Source organism: Homo sapiens, chromosome 3, assembly GCF_000001405.40.
Source record: "Homo sapiens chromosome 3, GRCh38.p14 Primary Assembly".
NCBI lineage: Eukaryota > Metazoa > Chordata > Mammalia > Primates > Hominidae > Homo > Homo sapiens.
This window is the reverse complement of record NC_000003.12, coordinates 194,060,144-194,079,866: the sequence shown is the minus strand read 5'-3', so window position 1 is coordinate 194,079,866 and position 19,723 is coordinate 194,060,144. Positions and strand designations below refer to the sequence as shown.

General features: G+C 44.8%; 1 protein-coding gene and 1 long non-coding RNA gene across 16 annotated transcripts in view, besides 2 other annotated features; one reads left to right on the top strand and one right to left on the bottom strand.

Annotated features, from left to right (window-relative positions):
* LOC102724877 (uncharacterized) overlaps positions 1-9,868 on the bottom strand; it is a 53,476-nt gene extending 43,608 nt beyond the window's left edge. For 4 of the 13 annotated variants that reach the window (XR_002959666.2, XR_002959664.2, XR_002959663.2 and 1 more), the window contains exons 1-3: positions 9,592-9,778; positions 1,573-1,655; positions 1,399-1,466 (exon numbers count right to left, since the gene is read on the bottom strand). Coding sequence is in view for 4 of the 13 variants with exons in the window: in XM_011513352.4 (XP_011511654.1) it covers positions 1,399-1,466; positions 1,566-1,655; positions 9,541-9,661 (279 nt within the window). In the remaining 9 variants the exon portion in view is untranslated. Of the gene's footprint in view, positions 1-1,398; positions 1,467-1,565; positions 1,656-9,540 lie in introns of all 13 variants that reach the window. The other 9 variants (XR_001741077.3, XM_011513352.4, XM_011513356.4 and 6 more) reach the window with 4 other exon arrangements.
* Positions 8,700-8,879: a silencer, noted in NCBI's record as "silent region_15012". NCBI's record gives its function as "represses an Ori minimal core promoter by ATAC-STARR-seq in GM12878 lymphoblastoid cells {active_cell/tissue: GM12878}" and the evidence as "EXISTENCE:reporter gene assay evidence [ECO:0000049][PMID:35858748]".
* Positions 8,897-19,723, top strand: part of LINC02028 (long intergenic non-protein coding RNA 2028) — a 65,515-nt gene continuing 54,688 nt past the window's right edge. For 2 of the 3 annotated variants that reach the window (NR_136179.1, NR_136180.1), the window contains exon 1: positions 8,897-9,045. This is a non-coding gene — a long non-coding RNA (long intergenic non-protein coding RNA 2028). Of the gene's footprint in view, positions 9,046-10,337; positions 10,552-19,723 lie in introns of those variants that run through there. The other variant, NR_136181.1, reaches the window with a different exon arrangement.
* Positions 16,805-17,305: an enhancer, noted in NCBI's record as "H3K4me1 hESC enhancer chr3:193780351-193780851 (GRCh37/hg19 assembly coordinates)". NCBI's record gives its function as "activates a minimal SCP1, AML or CMV promoter by ChIP-STARR-seq in naive H9 embryonic stem cells {active_cell/tissue: H9 hESC(naive)}" and the evidence as "EXISTENCE:reporter gene assay evidence [ECO:0000049][PMID:30033119]".

Here is a 19,723-nt window from a genome sequence, read left to right as displayed (position 1 = left end):
CGGAACTGTAGTGCCTCTTAATTACCCAGGAAGTGACAGGGTCAAGAGGTGTCTGAAAGCTGCCTTGTGGTTCTGGGCATTGATTTCTCACCATTGTCGCCGCTTCGCAGGCTGGAGTGGGAGCCACGGTCGCCTTGTTTTTGTCCACTGTTTGGATTTCTTCCTTTCTTCCTCCCTCACGCTCTCTCTCTCTCTCTTTTTAATTTGAAAAGAAACTTCTGGCGTTTTGGCTATTGATTGGAAATTCATAAAAGCCGGACACATTTTGGGTTGGCTGACCAGTCTTAATTGCTGCTTGGGTACTGGGGGAAGAGGCCCAGTTCTTGCAGAGACGCCCTCCCACGTGCCCCCATTCTCTGGCTACTTTTCTGCTTTCTTCCTACAATCTGTGAATTTCTGAGGGGAGAGTAACAATCTAAAAATTGTTTTAGTGCCCCTGAGTAGTCACTGGCTGCATTTATGATGATAGATAAGTTGTGCCCTTTGTTATTCAGAGTTTTGAGACAGATACTAGGTTTTTTTTTGCTTTTTCTTTTTCTTTTTTTGAGACGGAGTTTTACTCTTGTTGCCCAGGCTGGAGTGCAATGGCACGATCTCGGCTCACTACAACCTCCGCCTCCCAGGTTCAAGTGATTCTCCTGCCTCAGCCTCCCGAGTAGCTGGGATTTCAGGTGCCCACCAGCATGTCTGGCTAATTTTTGTATTTTTGGTAGAGACGGGGTTTCACCATGTTGGCCAGCCTGGTCTCAAACTCCTGACTTCAGGTGATCCACCCGCCTTGGCCTCCCAAAGTGCTGGGATTACAGGTGTGAGCCACTGTGCCTGGGCCGATAATGGTATTTTTTAAAGGAGTAAGCTAAGGTTTTGAACCATGGTCATCAAAAAATTATAATAGACAAACAGAACTGTAGGTATTTCTGGAAACCTTGGATCAAAGAAATTTTAGAAATTTCTGGAAAGTGTTGTTGAGTTGAATTTTGGGATAGAGAAGTCAGAGCCAGGGTGTCAGATAAATTAGTCGTGCACAGAGGTTTCGTGGGCATTTTGTTCTTCCATAAAAACTGTGGAAAGTAGTTATATCAGCAGAGCAGAGAAAGGGTTAATTATCTGTCTGGTCCTAGAGGAGTTTTTCAAGCTGTTGCCACGTCCACTAGGACATTAGAAGTTTTGCTAAGAAGGGAAGTCAGAGCCAACACTACAAAAATCTTCAATTCTTCTTTTCCCAAATCAGAGCAGCGCTAACTGTGGAAATACAATTCTAGAATGTTCCAGAGGCCCTTGGACGGAGTCAGGGGCATAGCAGTTTTCTCTTCATTGTACAAATGAGACCTTGGAAAGCGAAGGTCTCATATGTAATGATGTAAAACAAAGAAAGAATCTATAATGCAGAAATCTTACCTCTCTCCAGAGAAGTCTTGGATTTTCTTCCCAAACTTCCCTGCTTTTCATCAAAGTTTGAAACATATCTGTAATGGATAAGGCAGCTCTTTGACTTTAAGTTTTAAGGTGTCAAGGACCGAACAAGGAATTGAGAGTCAAAACCCAGAGTTTTAATCTCCCTCTACCTCTGACCTTGGGCAAGCCACGTTCCCTCTCCAGACCTTGCTTTCCTCTTCTGAAACATGAGAAGTTGGACTGGTTGACCTTCCACTCAGCTGGGAACCAAAACACAGAAAGAAGAAATATATTGACGCCCACTTTTGAATGCTAGTAAAAACTCATCAGGCTTCACCTTGGGAACAATATTAAAATGTATTTAGCTCTTCGTTATCCATAAACATAGACTGCACATGATTTAGGATCCAGCCTGAATTAAATATTCCCAAGTGCCTGTCTCCTGCATCAGACATAGATTGGGGATGGATAGAAAAGAAACAAAAACCGTTGAATAAACATTGAACAAGTAAATATATTAACACGATGCTGAAACTCCAAGTATGAGTATGTCTTATATAATAGCTCTAGAAAATGTTGCCTGCCTGTTATCTATCTATTCACTCAACAATTCATATACATTTCATACATATGTGGCTGAGTCTATCCATCCATTCATCCCTCCATCCCTCCACCCATTCATCCATCCCTCCATCCCTCCATTCCTCCAACCATTCACCCATCCCTCCCTCCATCCATCTACCCATCAACTCAACAACTTCCCAGACTGTTTATGTACAAGGGAGGGAGACAGGGATGGTGCCACAACAAAGAGGCTTAGAAAAGTGGCATAGGGCTCAGAGGAGACATGGTGAAGGCTTCATGGAGGAGCTGGCCGGCCTTTGAGCTGAGTTCTGAAGGGGGGATACTGTGTGAAGGTTAAGGGGATATAGGGGAGACAACAGGAGCAATGCACAGAGACAAGAAAGTACTGTTTCCAGTTCCCCAGTACTGTTGCCTGGGGAACACCAGAGAGTCAAACAAGAAGTTCAGATCGGGTGTGGTGGCTCATGCCTGTAATTCTGGCACTTTGGAAGGCTGAGGCAGGAGTTTGAGACCAGCCTGGGCAAAATAATACAACCCTGTCTCTACAAAAAAATAAAAATAAAAAATTAGCCAGGTGTGGTGGCATGCTCCTGTAGTCCTAGCTACCCATGAGCTCTGAGGTGGGAGAATCATGTGAGCCCAGGAGGTCCGGGCTACAGTGAGCTATGATGGCACCACTGCACTCCAGCCTGGGCAGCAGTGTGAGACCCTGCCTCAAATAAGAAGACTGAAGGCACATGAACTCTGAGGAGCAAGGCAATTAAGGAGAGTAGCTCGAAATATTTTGGAGGGCCTTGGAAGCAGCAATTTTTCCAGCAGAAAGTGTGAAGGAGAATGAAGTTACGGGGTGGGAGGGGTGGGGAGCAGCTGGAGAATGACTGGCACATGTTGTTACGGGAAAGTGTGTGTGAATAAAATACGGAAAAGCTAAAGGAAACTCTGTGTATTATGTGAAGTTTTATAAGTGCCTCACACTTGGTCTCCAAGAGTTCCACAAGTAATTCTTTATAAAACTTTGAAAAGTCAAGGAGACTTTATGTTCATAAGAGACTAATTAAAGGGTGGGAGGTAGAAGGGTGTGAAAGGAATTTTACTGTTTTTGTGTGAGATAACAGCCTTTCGACCTTCCTGCACCTGGCCCTCTGTGCTATTTTTCTAGAATTGCAGAGATGGAAACGTGAGTAGGTGGAGTCCGCTGCAGTGCCCTGGGCCAGCTGGCCTTCCACCTGGGAAAGCACCGAGCTGACCGAAGAGCAGAGACCCAGGCTGGGATCCTGGCTTTGCTCCTCATTCCGTGCAGGACTTGGGAGAACTGCACCCCCTCTTTAGAATGGCCTGAAAATGCTTATAGTAACGATTAATTACAATAAAATATAAAAAGAGAAAACTAGCCATAAACTTGAAATCCCTCAAACTGGCTGATATTTTCACAGATTCTCATTTTATCCCTAAAATTGACTGCTGAGAATTATTTCCCTTATTTTGCAAATTTAAAAAAAGTGAGGCTCAGAGAGTGAGTAAGTGAAAGTCAACGCACGGGGTAACCTTTGACAAGTTACTAACCAATTTTTGTGCTTGAGTGACTAGCAGAACTCTTGGAATCAGGGGTTCCTGACTGCCCTGGGCTATTAAATCTTTAGCACATGGCTCTCTAAGAGTATTTAGGTAGAAGAGGGATGGAAGGTTGTGGATGAGGGGAGAAGGAGTGGAGGAAAACAGGAGAAACTGAAGATAACTGGGGATGGAGTAACTTTGCAAGTTTCTCAAAAATGGCTTCCTCAACAATGAAGGAGGGGATGGAGGAATGACGAGTGGGCTGTGGGCAGGACCAGGCCAGGCTGACCTCAGTGCCCTCTGCCGGCTCAGCCCATACTCTGTCCTGTGGCTGGAGACCTGGTAACCACAGTGGCCAACAAAGCAAATAATGCTTTGTTGATTTTGCTAAAAGAAAGCAAGAGGAACACAGCTTACTCCCTGAACCCATGTGCTGAGGCAGTTGTTTTGCAGCCCCCAAGCTGATCTGCGATCCTCTGCTTCTAAGCTGTCTTGAATATCGAAGTAAAGGGAAATCCAGGCTTTTTAGGTGTGATGCCTTTTTCTTTTACACGCATAATTTATATACAGTGAAATGCTCCGATTGTAAAGATTCCATTTTGATCAAGGCATATTAGGGTCCAGAACATTTCTATCACCCCAGAAAGTCCTTCCTTCCCAGTCAATGCCCACCATCACCCAGCAACCGTGATCTGGTTTCTATCACTATTGGTTAGTTTCAGCTATTCCAGATTTCATATAAAGGCAAACAGGATGCACTTCTCATGTTTGCCTTCCTTCACACAGCTTGGTATTTTTGAGATTCATCTGAGTTGCTGCATGTCTCAGTAGATCATTCATTCCTGTTGCTAAGTAGTATCCCATTGTGCAAATATAGTGCAAATATATCTGTTCTCTTGTGATGGTCACCTAGGTTGTTTCCAGTTTGGAGCTACAAGTAAAGTTGCTACAAGCATTCTTGCAGGAGACGTTTTGTGGACTTGTGCTTCCATTTATCTTAGGTAAATGCCTATGACTCAGTAGGTTGCTAGGTCGTGGAGTAGATATAGTGGTGTGCTGGAGTGGACCGGGACAAGTGAGCAAGAGCCACTCGTGGTCATCTCTTCCCAATGCTGCCTTCAGTGTCGTCATGTGGGTAGCTTGAAATCGGCCATGGTAGAAGATTTATACCAGGGAAATCAGAAAATGCTACAAATCAGGCTTTGTAGCATTTGTTTTTCTTCTGGAGAGCCCATTAGTTTTTGATTGTATTTTATTTTTTAGTCAGGGTTTCCCTCTGTCACCTGGGCTAGAGTACAGTGGCACAATCACAGCTCATGGCAGCCTCAACTTCCCTGTGGAGAGGTCATTGTTAAAAATTTACCAGTATCCCACTGGGTCAGTATATATTCACCTTTTAAAGAAACTCTCAGTTTTCTAAAGTGGCTGTACCATTTAACATTCTTATTAGTGAGGTACGAGAGTTCCAGTTCTCTCCAACACCTGGCGTTGTCAGTTTTTAATTCTAGCCATTCTAGCAGGTATGTAGGGGTAGCTCATAATTTTAATTTGCATTCTCTGGTGACTGATGATGTTGAGTGCTTTCACACGTGCTTATTGTGGTTATTTGTGTATCTTCTTTTGTAAAGTGTCTTTTCAGTCTTTGGTCCTTAAAAAAACTAGATTGTCTTCTATTGTTGAGTGACAGAAGTTCTTTATATGTTCTATATGTATGTCCTTTGTCAGATATATGTTTTGTGAATATTTTCTCCTGGTTTGTGGTTTATCTGTTTGTTTTCTTGATGGTGTATGTTTTGCAAGCAGACATTTTACATTTTGATAACATAAAATTCTCAATTTTTAATTTATGGTTTATATTTTCTGTGTCCTTTCTAAGTTATCATATTGTGTCTCCTCTACCTGCAGTGGCCTTCCCCATTACCTTCATCTGGAGAACTAGTCATTCTCCAAGGGTGCCATAGTTTCAATGTGTTCCCCAGAAAGCACGTGTTGGAAACTAAATCCCAAAGCCAACAGTGTTGGGAAGTGGGGCCTAATGAGAGGTAATTAGGCCATGAAGGTGGAGTGAATGGATTAATGCTATTATCACTGGAGTAGGTTTGTTGTAAACGGTGAAGTTCAGCCCCCTTTTATCCTCTCTCTCTCTCTCTCTCTCCTCCTCTCTTTGCCCTTCTGCCATGGGATGATGCAGCAAGAGGGCCCTCAGCAGATGTCAGCTCCTGGATCTTGGACTTCCCAGCCTCTAGAACTATGAGCCAATAAATTCCTACTTATTAAATTATCCAAAGCAGGCTGGGTGTAGTGGCTCACTCCTGTAATCCCAGCACTTTGGGAGGCCAAGGTGGGTGCATCACCTGAGGTCAGGAGTTCCAGACCAGCCTGGCCAACATGGTGAAACCCCCTCTCTACTAAAAATACAAATATTAGCTAGGTGTGGTGGTGTGTGCCTGTAATCCCAGCTACTTGGGAGGCTGAGGCAGGAGAATCGCTTGAACCCAGGAAGTGGATATTGCAGTGAGCCAAGATCGCACCATTGCACTCCACTCCAGCCTGGGCAACAGAGTGACTCCATCTCAAAAAAAAAAAATTATCTAAAGCAGGGCATGGTGTTGCATGCCTGTGGTTCCAGGCTCAGGAGTTTGAGGCTGTGGTGAGCTATGACTGTGCTTGTGAATGGCCACTGCACTCCAGCCTGGGCAGCACAATTAGAATCTGTCATTAAAAATAAGTAAATATTTTTTCTGAAAGATTTTATGTATAAATAAATAAATAAAATAGATAAATAGATAGATGCCAAGTCTGGGGTGTTCTGTTATAAGAGCACAACATGAATTAAGATAAAGACTCAACATAAATGTCACCTGTTTAGACAACCCTTCCTCCAGGTGCATTCTCACCTGTATACTGCCACTTAGTTTATACATCTCTTAGCAGCCTACGATCTAATTGTGTCTTTATGAATCTTTCCAATCTGAGTGATTGGGAGCCCCAAGTGGGGCGTATGGGTCTTCTGGATTGTTTTCTCCTTTTTACCTCCTCTGGGTCCTTCTGTTTTCCTAGTCCCCTCTCTCATCTCCATCAGCACGCACGTTAGGTGCCTGGCAATAGTAGGTTCACAGTGAATGCTAATCAACTGAGTTACCTTGAATGTGGCCAGCTGGTCATGAATCTCCAGGGCTGACATCTTTGTCTTTTGATTATGTTGTAATGATTGGAGAACATATTGATTATGGAGTCAGAGGGTGGAGGTAGTTTACTTCACAGACCAAAAGTGAGTTTGAAAAGTTCTACCAGGTTCTACCAAAGTCAGAGCCATTGAGGATCAAGTGAGATTCTCTTAATACTTGGAGAAGGTAAAGGTCGGGCAGGTCTGCATGTGTGCATGTGCTATGAGGAGGTGAGAGGAGAGGGTGTGTATGCGGAATGTAATCTGAATTACATCTAAACTTTGAGACCTGGTTGACAAAGCACTGGTTGGTGGTTAGGCAAACATGGGGTCAAGTACATTTATAGCTCTGTGACCTTAGGCAAGTGATTTCACCTCTTTAAATGTCAGTACTTTTAGCTATAAGCCAGGGCAATAATACCACCCCTCTCATTAGGGTGTTGTGAGAATGAAAGGCAATGTATGTAAGGCAGTTCTGGAAACATCACAGTGTTTCCAGAGCCCTTCCTGCGCCCTGGGGTCTGGGCAGCTTCTTTGTGGGATGATTTGCCGGTTCCTCGGTTTGTGGGATTTGGAGTGAAGGGTCCCTGTTTCAGTGTAGTCTCTACCCTGGGCAGTTAGATGCAGTAAGGGAGCTGGAGGTCCAGAGGAGTCACACAGAGGCCCAAGGGAAGCAGAATACAGGAATGGTGCCATCTCATAGGAACAGATCTCCACCCCAGAATCGGAAGTTCTATTTTTTTTTAAAGCAGTTTTCAAATTGTTTTTGTTTCTGTCAAATGGTTGCCAGAATAGTCTTTGATCAAGGTTTCCACTGCTCATCAGTAAACAGAGAGTTGTGGGAAGGAGTCCCGCCAGAGATTGGCAAACGCCCTCATCACCGACTCAGAGGCAAATGGCTGATCTCTGACCACAGGTGATGCTCACTCACACCAGGCTCTGGGCTGGAGTCGAGGCATAAGCACTGCCTTGACTCCCGCCCGGCCTACCATGTCCAATGGTGGGAGGGGAGATGACGGGGATGTCCCCGCTTCCCCATTCCCCATCTCTTTGGCGGTTCCTATCTGAATCTAGAAGTGCAAAGCCACCCCTAGCAAGCTACTTCTCCTAGTCGCTTTCCTCCTTGTAAACTGGGGGTGCCAACATCCCCCCCTTACTTCAGGGGCCTTTCAAGAATGTACAGAGTGGCTGGGCGCGGTGACTCATGCCTGTAATCCCAGCACTTTGGGAGGCTGAGGTAGGCGAATCACCTGACAGGGTCAGGAGTTCTAGCCCAGCTTGGCCAACATGGCGAAACCCCGTCTCTACTAAAAATACAAAAATTAGCCGGGCGTGGTGGTGGGAGCCTGGCACGAGAATCGCTTGAACCTGGGAGGCAGAGGTTGCAGTGATCACGCCACTGCACTCCAGCCTGGGCGACAGAGAGACTCTGTCTCAAAGAAACACCACCAAAGAATGTACGGAGTGGGAGTCAGGAGCTTTGGAAAGCGTATTGGCCAGTTGTTGCATAGGTGCGTTACGTGAGCGAGCCAAGAAGGGCTCCCTACAGCATGTGTGCGCGCGTCCATTCATTTGTTCGTTCATTCGTTCATTCATTCAGTAATTCATTCATGCATTCGACATTTATTCAGCACCTGGGTGAGACACACACTGAGATTCAATAAACTGCTGATCAAAGTTGTGTCTAGACGTCCAAGGGTTAAGCCGCCGGCGCGGGCCCCTCTGCGTCCCCCTCCGCCCCCGCCGGGCGTGGGGAAGGCGGGAAGGCGGCGCGGCGGGTGCCAAAGTCGGAACCTGCTCGTCGGCAGCTCCCGGCGCTGCCTTGACTCGCAGCCAGGCCTGGCGCGGCCGCCGGCTGTGGAATGTGTGAGCGCCATGTGTCACCGCCCCAGACTGTGGGAAAACGCTGCTCCGCTCACCTCCCAGCAGCTGCCCCGCGCCCGCCCGGGCGGGAGCCGGGAAACAGGAGCCGCCTGCCGCGGAGGCCGCCCGGGGGCACTTCCGAGCGCGCGCCGCCTGCCCGGCCGCCCCCGCGCCCGCCGCGTCTCCCCGCCCACACCCCGCTGCCACCCGGCCCCGGGCGCCACCCGCGGAGCAGGCGGCGGGAGGGACAGCCCGGCACGGCCCCTTTCCTGCCCTTCACACCCCTTCTGCTTCTCAGGGGACGCTGGTCCACAGACCGAGGCCCCGTTGCGCGCGGCCGCCTTCGGAGCGCCGCCCTCCTCCCGAAACCGGCCGGGGCGAGTGGCTGCAAGAAGCTGCGGTTTGGCCCGCGGGAGAGGGGGGCTTCCCCGCTGGGGTTGTCTGACGCGAACGCCTTCCTGGCCCCAGCCAGGCGCCCTGAGGTCAGGCCCAGTGGTGAGAGAGCTCTGAACGGGAGGCCCCACGCTGCCTGCTCCCCCAAATCAGAAACAGCCTCCCCCACCGGGGCGAGGCAAGGGATCTGCACCACCCCACGCGCTCCCGCCTGCACGGTAGCCTAGAGCCTGGTGTGAGCGGGAATCACATGTGCTCACACATCACCCAGGCAAGGTCTTTGAAGCCCAGCCATGCGGGCAGACGTATTCAAGGTCACCCTGCTGGGTGGCGGCAGAGCTCCTGTTGGAATCCACGCTCAGAGGACCTTCTGCCGAGCCCCAGCCCCAAAGGCATGGCGCCCTTTCTCTGCAGCATGGTGCCCCTCGTCGAGTTCCTGCCCCATAGAGAAGTTGGGAATGGGGCAGACGGGGGTGGGGGGAAATCATGGGTCCTGGGACCCCGACAGCTTTGCCTAAACTCAGCCTCATGCTGCGAGACGTCCCAGTCCGTCACCTCAGCCTGATTTTCTGGGGGTGCCCCACCTGACAGGCCTGGTAGTGAAGCCCCCATTGTATCCAGCCCTCTACGAGCACCTGGCATTTGTGTGCCTTGTTCCGGCTTGCCACCTCCTCTGTGGAAGTCTTCCCAGATTTGCCCAATCATTGCTTCCCGGTTCTCCGGCGGCCTTTGACAAACGCCTGTTTATGACGTTTGTGGCCCCCTGTAACTCATGGCCTACCTGTCCTCTCCTCCCTTCCGGAGTTTCCTGAGGGCAGAGACTGTGTTGCCCTCCTTTTTGATTTCCACACAAATGATTATTTGAGAACTCTGCTTATGGCAGCTGCTCTGTTTGTTGGCTGAATGTTATGCAATTTACCACTGGCTAGGAATCTCACCAGATGTGTGACCTTGGGCAAGTTGCTTAATCTAAGCTTCGGTTTTCTCATCTGTAAAATGGAGATCAACTGATACTGCGTCTAAAGTGACTTGTATAGTGGCTGGCACAAAGCAGATGCTGTGTGTGTGTATGAATGATTGCTAAAATACCATAGACTGGTGGCTTAAACAATAGTCATTTATTTTCTCCTGGCTCTGGAGGCTGGGAGATCCAAGATCAAGATGATGGCGAATTAGGTTGTTAGTGAGGGTGCTCTTCCTGGCTTGCAGAAGGCTGTCTGCTCACTGTGTCGTCATGTGACCACAGAGAGAGAGCAAGTCTGTTCTTATGAAGACACCAATCCTATCAGATTAGGGCCCCACCCTTATGATCTCAGTTAACCTTAATTACTTCTATAAAGGCCAGGTCTCCAAATACAGTCACACGGGGAGCTAGGGCTTCAACCTATGGCTTTTGGGGGATACAGTTCAGTCCATAGCAGTGGGGAAAGGATGTGACTCAGTCTAGAGAGACTCAAGGAGGGAATGCTTAGATAGGAGCATGGAGGGCGTGCCTGGTGAAGGGAACAGTATGGCACAGCTTCAGAGGCAAGGGTGAGCCAGCAGCAAGGGGCTGGCTATGGCCGGTACAAAAAGCATGTGCTCGTGGGAAATAGGTAAGAGAAGCTTGGGGGTATGGCCAGAGTATGGAGGACTCTGAATGCTGGGTGTGTTCGAAGGGTTTTGAATGCTGAGTTTTTACTTGATGTGCCTGGAAGTAGTTGCTGAAGGCGGTTTGGGAGTGGAGGAATACATCCTTTAAAAAAAATTTTAAATTTATTTTAATTTTTAATTTTTGGGGGTACATAGTAGGTGGTACATATTTATGGGGTACATAAGGTATTTTGATACAGGCATGCAATGCATAATGACCACATCAGGGTGAATGGAGTATCCGTCACATCAAGCATTTAGCCTTTGTGTTACAAACAATCCAATTATACTCTTTCAGTTATTTTTAAGTGTATGATTCAATTATTTTTACGAGGCTGGGCTTGGTGGCTCAGCCGTGTAATCCCAGCACTTTAGGAGGCCGAGGTGGGCGAATCACCTGAGGTCGGGAGTTCGAGACCAGCTTGACCAACATGGAGAAACCCTGTCTCTACTAAAAATACAGAATTAACCGGGCGTGTTGGCGCATGCCTGTAATCCTAGCCACTCCAGAGGCTGAGGCAGGAGAATTTCTTGAACCCGGGAGGCAGAGGCTGCAGTGAGCCGAGATCAGCCTGGGCAACAAGAGCAAACCTCCGTCTCAAAAAAAAAATAATTATATATATATATATATATATATATATATATATATATATATATTTACTATAGTCACCCTGTTATGCTCACATATACTAGGTATTATTCATTCTTCCTATTTTTCGTACCCATGAACCATCCCCACTCTCCTATCAACCCCCTCATTACCCTTCCCAGCCTCTAATAACCATCCTTCTATTTTCTATCTCCATGAGTTCAATTATTTTAAATTTTAGCTCCCACAAATAAGTGAGAATGTGAAGTTTGTCTTTCTGTGCCTGGCTTATTTCACTTAACATAATGTCCTCCAGTTCCATTCATGTTGTTGGAAATGACGGGATCTCATTCTTTTTCATGGCTGAATAGTATTCGGTTGCATATATGTCCCATATTTTGTTTATCCATTTAGCCATGATGGACTCTTAGGTTGCCTCCAAAGCTTGGCTATTGTAACTAGTGCTGCAGTAAACATGGGTGTGCAGATGTCTCTTTGATAGACTCATTTCCTTTCTTTTGGGTATATACCTAAGAGTGAGATTGCTGAATCATATAATAGCTCTATTTTTAGCTCTTTGAGGAACCTCCAAACTGTTCTCCATAGTGGTTGTACGAATTTACATTCCTACAAACAGTGTACGAAGGTTCCCTGTTCTCCACATCCTCTCCAACATTTGTTATTGCCTGACTTTTGGATAAAAGCCAATTTAACTGGGGTGAGATGATATCTCATTGCAGTCTTGATTTGCTCCTTTGCTGTGCAGAAGCTTTTTAACTTGATGTGATTCCATTTGTCCAGTTTTGCTATGGTTGCCTTGCTTGTGAGGTATTAACTCAAGAAATCTTTGCCCAGTCCAGTGTCCTGGAGAGCTTCCCCAATGTTTCCTTTTGGTAGTTTCACAGTTCGAGGCCTTAGATTTAAGTCTTTATTCCATTTTGATTTGATATTTGTATGTGGTAAGAGACAAGGATCTAGTTTAATTCTTTTGCATATGGATATCCAGTTTTCCCAGCACCATTTATTGAAGAGAATGTCCTTTCCCTAATGTATGTTCTTAGCACCTTTGTCAAAAATGAGTTCACTGTGTATGTATGGATTTGTTTCTGGGTTCTCTGTTCTGTTCCACTGGTCTATGTGTGTCTGTTTTTAGGCCAGTACCATGCTGTTTTGGTTAATATAGCTCTGTAGTATAATTTAAAGTCAGGTAATGTTACTCCTCCAATTTAGTTCTTTTTGCTTAGGATAGCTTTGGCTATTCTGGGTCTTTTGTGGTTCCATATAAATTTTAGAATTGTTCTTTCTATTTCTGTGAAGAATGTCATTGGTATGCTGATAGGGATTGACTTAAATCTGTAGATTGCTTTGGATAGTATGGACATTTTAACAATATGGATTCTTCCCATCAGTGAACACAGAATATCTTTCCATTTTTTGTGTGTCTTCTTCAATTTCTTGCATCAATGTTTTATGGTTTTCATTATAGAGATCTTTAACTACTTTAGTTAATTCTTAGGTATTTTATTTTATTTGTAGCTATTGTAAATGGAATTAGTTTCTTGATTTTTTTTCAGATTATTCCCTGTTGGCATATAGAAATGTTACTGATTTTTGTATGTTGATTTTGTATCCTGCAACTTTACTGAATTTGTTGATCAGTTCTAAAAGTTTGTTGATGGAGTCTTCAGTTTTTCCAAATATAAGATCATATCATCTGCAAACAAGGATGGTTTGACACCATCCCTTCCAATTTGGAAACTCTATATCTCTTCCTCCTGTCTGATTGATCTAGCTAACACTTCCAGGACTATGTTGAATAACAGTAGTGAAAGTGGGCATCCTTGTCATGTTCCCAATCTTAGAGGGAAGGGTCTCAGTTTCTCCCCATTCAGTGTGACACTAGCTATGGGTCTGTTGTGTAGCGTTTTTATTATATTGAAGTATGTTCCTTCTACACCCAGTTTTTTTTTGAGGGTTTTTATCATGAAGAGATGATGAATTTTATCAAATGATTTTTCAGCACCAATTGAAATGATTGTATGGGTTTTGTCCTTCATTCTGGTGATACATGATGTATCACATTAATGGATTTGTGTATGTTGAACCATCCTTGCATCCCAGGGATAAATCCCACTTGGTCATCATGAATGATATTTTTAATTTGTTGTTGAATTTGCTTTTCTAGTATTTTGTTAAGGATTTTTATACCATTATTCATCAGAAATATTGGTCTGCAGTTTTCTTTTTTCAATGTGTTTTTGTCTGGCTTTTGGTATCAGGGTTGTACTGGCCTCATAGACTGAGTCTGGAAGTATTCCCCCTCCTCTATTTTTTGGAATAGTTGGAGCAGGAATGATATTAGTTCTTCTTTAAATGTTTGGTAGAATTCAGCTGTGAATCCATCAGATCCTGGGCTTTTCTTTTCTGGGAGACTTTTTATACAGCTTTGATCTCATTGTTTATTGTTGGTCTGTTCAGGTTTTGGATTTCTTCATGGTTCAGTCTTGGTGGGTTGTATGTGTCTAGGAATTTACCCATTTCTTCTAGATTTTCCAATTTATTGGCATATAGTTGCTCATAGTAGCCACTAATGATCATTTCAATTTCTGAGGTATCAGTTGTAAGTAAATCCTTTACAATGACATAGTAATAGTAAGGCTTTGAAAATGCTTCTCATGGGTGCAAGATATAGGAAATTCAACTCTAGTTTTCAGATGAGGGTACTGAGGTTGGGAAAATCAAGTGACCAGCCCTAAGTCACACAGCAGGTTAGTGGGGACCAGGATCAGATAGAGCAATTTCTGTCTCCACAGTGGACCCCCCAACCCCACCTTCTATTGCCCACCTTGGCCCTTGAGTACTAGGTGGGGAAAGGCGCTCAAGGAAGGTCCACTTGTTGGAGCTGTGGCCAGTGGATTGCAGGGCATGAGAACAGAAGCAAAAGCCACCTGGAGCCTACAGCAACATCCAGATGAGAACCCTGACCCCGCTGGGACAGGATCAGTCCACATGAAACTGTTAGGGAACAGTGGGTAGTGGATATGAATGGAGTCCTGAGGAATGGGGGATTTAGAATAAATGGGCAGGAAGAAATAAGAATGTTTTATATCTGTTCGGGTATTTTGGTTCCATTATCATGGCTGTTTAAGATGCTCCCTGAACCATACATTTATGTTAATGTTTTAAATAGTAATGCATCAAATGTGACCAAAATCTGAAGTACTAAAACAATATGACAGCACAGACAGAATGGCTGGAAGGTATTAAGTGTCTAGGAGCACTGGTTTTGCTGATAAGGCAAACTCTATGGGGCTGACTTATTGGTTAACTAGTCATTGTCTAGATGAAGAAACTGAGGCTTGGAAAGAATAAAAACTGCCTGAAGCCACACAGATGGTAAGTGGCAGAGCTGGTTGACTGCAGCTCCATCTGGCTTCAATATCTGTACACTTCCCACCCCTGACGCTGACACTGGGCCTGTGTGACACTTGGATATCGGGTATCCATGTGGTAACTATATTTTCCAAGCCCCAAATAGGGACACATGGTCTGACAAGTGTGAAGGTACTTATGGGGCAAGAGACTAGAAGGTTTTAAATTAGGCCTGTCCCAGCAAATCCAGGACATCTGGTCATCATAGATATCTAGGGGCTGCCCACACCCCTGGCACGAGGCAGGCTTTTGCCTTTTAATACTCTTTCCCATCTTGAATGCCCAAGGTCTATTTTTTGGTTTAAGCACATGCCACAGACAAGTGAGGGACATTTAAAAAGATCAAACAGCTGGAGAGAGATTGCAAGGGACATTCTTTTTAGGGAAGCCACAGCAGGGGAGAGGGCAGGAGAGGGCAAGGAAGTGGCAGAGGGTCAGAAGAGTAACTCACGGGTTCTAAATCCCAGGAGGTGTAGGGCATTGTGAGCTGAGGTCAGGTTAAGGCTGGGGACTTTTCCTCAGTATCAGGCCCATAGCTACCCACTTCTCCTCTCCCTTCCTCTTTCTCCATCTCTTCTCCTTGTTCTTTTCTCATTGTGAACTCTCACTACTCCCTCCTGACTCCGGCTTAGAGCAGAAGGAGCTGCAGCTGGCCTGAGGCACCTCAAGGAGGGGCGGCTGGTTTCTGTGCAGTGAAGACAACTTCCTGAAGAGCTATGTGACTGTGCTGAACCCGCTTCTGTAAAATGGGTTCACCAATAACAGGTTACTGTAGAATTATAGAGGATAGGGTGTAAAACTGTCCTATAAACGGTGAAGAATTGGACACATGTGGTGCTCAGTTTTGTATTCAGTGGGAGTTGGGGTCAATGTTATGTTGATATTGTTAGAATAACTGCCAGTCTTAGGAGCATTTATCAGTAGAGGCCTAACAGCAATAATGTGAGGTTGTGTGTTTGCTTCATTTGAAATGGTACAGTTGCCTGCTACTTCACAAATACAGGGAGAAGAAAGGAGAAGTGAGGTACAAGGCGGGTACGTGTGCATGTTTCAGTGTGTGTGTGTTTGTGTGTGTGTAGAGAGAGAGAGAGAAATGGAGGTACAATCTGGCATTTGTTAGAAATCGCACAATCATAGAACACTAGGGATGGGCCTTAAAGAATCTATCCTCTTCACTCTATGGACAGGGACACTAAAGCTCAGACAGAAAAAAGCTAATTTTCCAAGGTCAATCACTAGTCAGTTGGGGGCCACACGGGGCATGGTCTCCAGGTCTTCTGGTCCAAGTCCAAGGCTTCCATTGTCAGCCCATGCTCAGCCCTATTGTACAAACCACGATGTGCAAGGAGCAGTGGGGAGTCAGAGGGACAGATGTGACCTTTCGTGTCAGGGTGTCCCAGATTATTTGGGAAGGCCACACCTACAACCGTGACCCAGTCAAAGACGAGCCTGAAACAGTACTGACTGGGATGTAAGATCCAGGGATACACCTCAGGGACCTGTAAGAATGTAGGTGCAGGAGCAGCCATCCAGGCCTGGGTGGTAGGGGAAGACTTGAGGAAATAGCTGAAGGAGTGGACGTGGACAGTTAGAATAATAAAAAACAAGCAATTAAGTAACATTTCCTTCAAGTGATGCTTTTTGCTCCAATTCTTGCCTAGAGGTGGTGGTTTGGGATTTTACCAGCATCTCTCTTTGGAATTCAAATGTACCACCAGTACTTCGCTTTTCCTGAAAAGCCTAAGTTACAAATTGATAGCTTCTAAAACCTCTCTGCAAAGGGTTAAATGTCTGTGTTGGAAAAGAGAAACTCATCAGTTAATATCTACTTCTTAATCAGCCCAAGGTGCTGAAAAAAAGGCCATTCACCAAGTGGTTAGCAAAGCTAATTTGTCATTCTGGCATTTTGACCTACTGTGCTTTTAAGGCATTATTCTTCCACACATTTCAAAACCGTTATTCTTCCACACTGTAGTTTCTGTTGGAGAGAACCAATTACATCTTTCCCTACCATACACAATGGGATGTCCTTGACATTACTTACGGGGTTTTCCTTCTTATCTGGAAACTTGGTTGGAAACCTCTAGAGGAGCAGGGGACCCTCATTTATTCATCTCTACCCGCTCCATAGCACCTCCCATGAATCCTTGCCCAGGGCTGGCTCTGAGGAATCTTTTGTTGGATTTGAAATGATGATCATATCGGGTTAATTTCCAGCATTAACCATAAAAATTGGCTAGAGTTCAAAGCTGGTGGCATGCTCAAGTTACTGCCAAACCTCCTGCTCATTCCCTCCCACCCCCCCAGCCTCAAGTTGTGAGCAACTGAATTTATCAGCTGTGAAACTGGTTGCACTAATACCTCAGATGAATCTTCAATATAAGCTGTATCCCCTGCTGGGGCTTCTTGAGGAAGGTGACTGGATCTCACTCATCTTGGAACCTTTATGCTTAGCCCAGTGACTGCCTGGTACATAGAAAGTGCTCAATAAATGTTTATTGCATTAGACAGTAATTTTCGGCCGGGCGCGGTGGCTCACGCCTGTAATCCCAGCACTTTGGGAGGCCGAGGCGGACGGATCACGAGGTCAGGAGATCGAGACCATCCTGGCTAACATGGTGAAACCCCGTCTCTACTAAAAATCCAAAAAAATTAGCTGGGCGTGGTGGCAGGCGCCTGTAGTCCCAGCTACTCGGGAGGCTGAGGCAGGAGAATGGTGTGAACCCGGGAGGCAGAGCTTGCAGTGAGCCGAGGTAGCGCCACTGCACTCTAGCCTGGGCAACAAAACAAGACTCCGTCTCAAAAAAAAAAAAAAAGACAGTAATTTTCTAATTTCTTAGAAATTAGAAAAAACATTTTCATTAGGTTACCTCTCCCCTCAAACTCAGAGTACATATCATTACAGAAAAGAGAAAGGCCGGGGGTGTAGGGACAGAAAACACTTCCTGCTCTGGAAACTATACCATTAGCTCCTTTGTTCAAGTCGGCATTTCTGATCTGATACCTGTATTTCACACAAGAAATGACAACTTCCCTGATACTTCAAAGTCCTTTCTCATATCTAGGATGATTTTTTTAAATTTAATTTTTTAAAGCACAGACCCATCTTTGATCTATGCAGGGCAATGTATTTGGGTTGACAAGATGGTTTCCCTGTTTCTTCCTTTAGGCACACTTTCATCAGTATGTTCCTGCCTTGGTTTAGTCCTTAGATGATTTTTTTTTTTTTGGCCCAGAGTTTATCATGGACATTTACATTAGCAAGTATTTCTGCATCTTTTTGTGATTTTCATCTTTAGTTTATTAGAATAAGTCTCCCCACCTTCTTTGGATTTAATTTTATTTAAGAACATGATCTGGGGCTGCATATTCATTCATGTGAATATTAACTAATCCAGATGAACTTTACTGGAATGTAAATACTGTGGCTGGAAGGCAAGATCAAAACCATTCCCCAAACAGAAATGTTAATCTTTCTATGGCCAAGGGGAAACACAGCAGTTTAACATGCAAGCAATTTCATGCATTTTTACATTAAGTCATTAAGTAAAATCTTTTGTCTGTTTTGTATGGTTGAGATTATTTATAAGTAACAGGTAAAGGCCAAAGGTCCCCAGCATTGCTTGACCTGTTTGAATATCAGTCCATACCAAAGATGTTTGGAGAAATCACTGTTCCGACCACAGTGTCAACTAACACCAAAGGTAGTGTTTCATTCACCTTAAACATGTCACCAGAGGCTGAGTGAAACTACATGCTTGCTTCCATTTATATACATGGTCATTCGCCACTTAAGGATGGGGATACGTTCTGGGAAATGCATTGTTAGGTGATTTCATCATTGTGTGAACACACCATAGAGGGCACTTACACACACCTGGATGGTATGGCCTACTACACACCTAGGCTATATTGTACAGCCTATTGCTCCCAGGCCACAAACTTGTACAGCATGTCATCCACTGAATGCTGTGGACACTTATAACTCAATGGTAAGTATTTGTGTATCTTAACATATGTAAACATAGAAAAGGTACACTAAAAATATGGTGTTATAATCTTATGGGACTGCCTTCATATATGAAGTTCATCGTTGACTGAAACGTTGTTATGCACCACATGACACTGTGTGTGTGTGTGGGGGGGGTGTGTATGAGTACCTGTATATGCATATGTAAAACCCAAAACTTCAGTGAAGTGTGTATGTGAGGTTTGTGTGTGTGCATGATGTGGCAGTGGGGAGATGGGTCCCTTAGGGTCATGCAAACCAGCAAAGCAGAAGCTTACGTTTAATGAACATTTAAAATATTATAGACATTTACTTACAAAACAAACGCTAGATTTCTTCTGTATATCAAGAAATCAGTAGATCCTTCTATATAGGAAAACTAAATCTTTTTTGATTGATAAGAGTGTTTGGGCTTTCCCTGGGCACTTATGTCATTGGATCACATTTAGATGGAGTGCCTTGGAAAGTTTGACATCTCTCATAGATGCCAACATGAGAGACTAATCGTACATAAAATAGCCTAGAGCCACTGGGGATTCAAATGGCTCCGGCCTGACCTCTTATCCTGACTTTCATACTTCTACCACCTCCAGCTCAGACCAGTCTCTTAGGCTGGGTCTAACACAAGCCAGTTCCAAAGAATGGGCATTATCCCTGGGTTAAATAAATATTTTATGTGATTTATTTCACTTGGCCAATCAATTATTGGATCAGATTGACCTAGAACCTTCTGGTTCTTATAGTACTATTCTGTCTCTGTCCCTTAGGAAAGGATCAGCAACAACACACACGCACACACACACAAACACACACACACACACACACAAACACACATACACTTAACAGCATTTTGAAGCTTTGGTGAGACACCTTAACTTATTTAAGCAAAATACACAATTAAATAGAGTGAAAGCTCACATCTGTTTTGAGATTGACTCTGGTAGCGCTAGTCTTATTGGATTTTATAAAAAGTAATTCCAGTTATGGTAACTACATTTATAAAAGCACAGCTGGGGTGGATGAAACTGGAGTCGTTCACTAGGTTAGATCAATATTCAACCCTGGCTACACATTCACCTGGGGAGCTTTTGAAAAATGCTGAGGC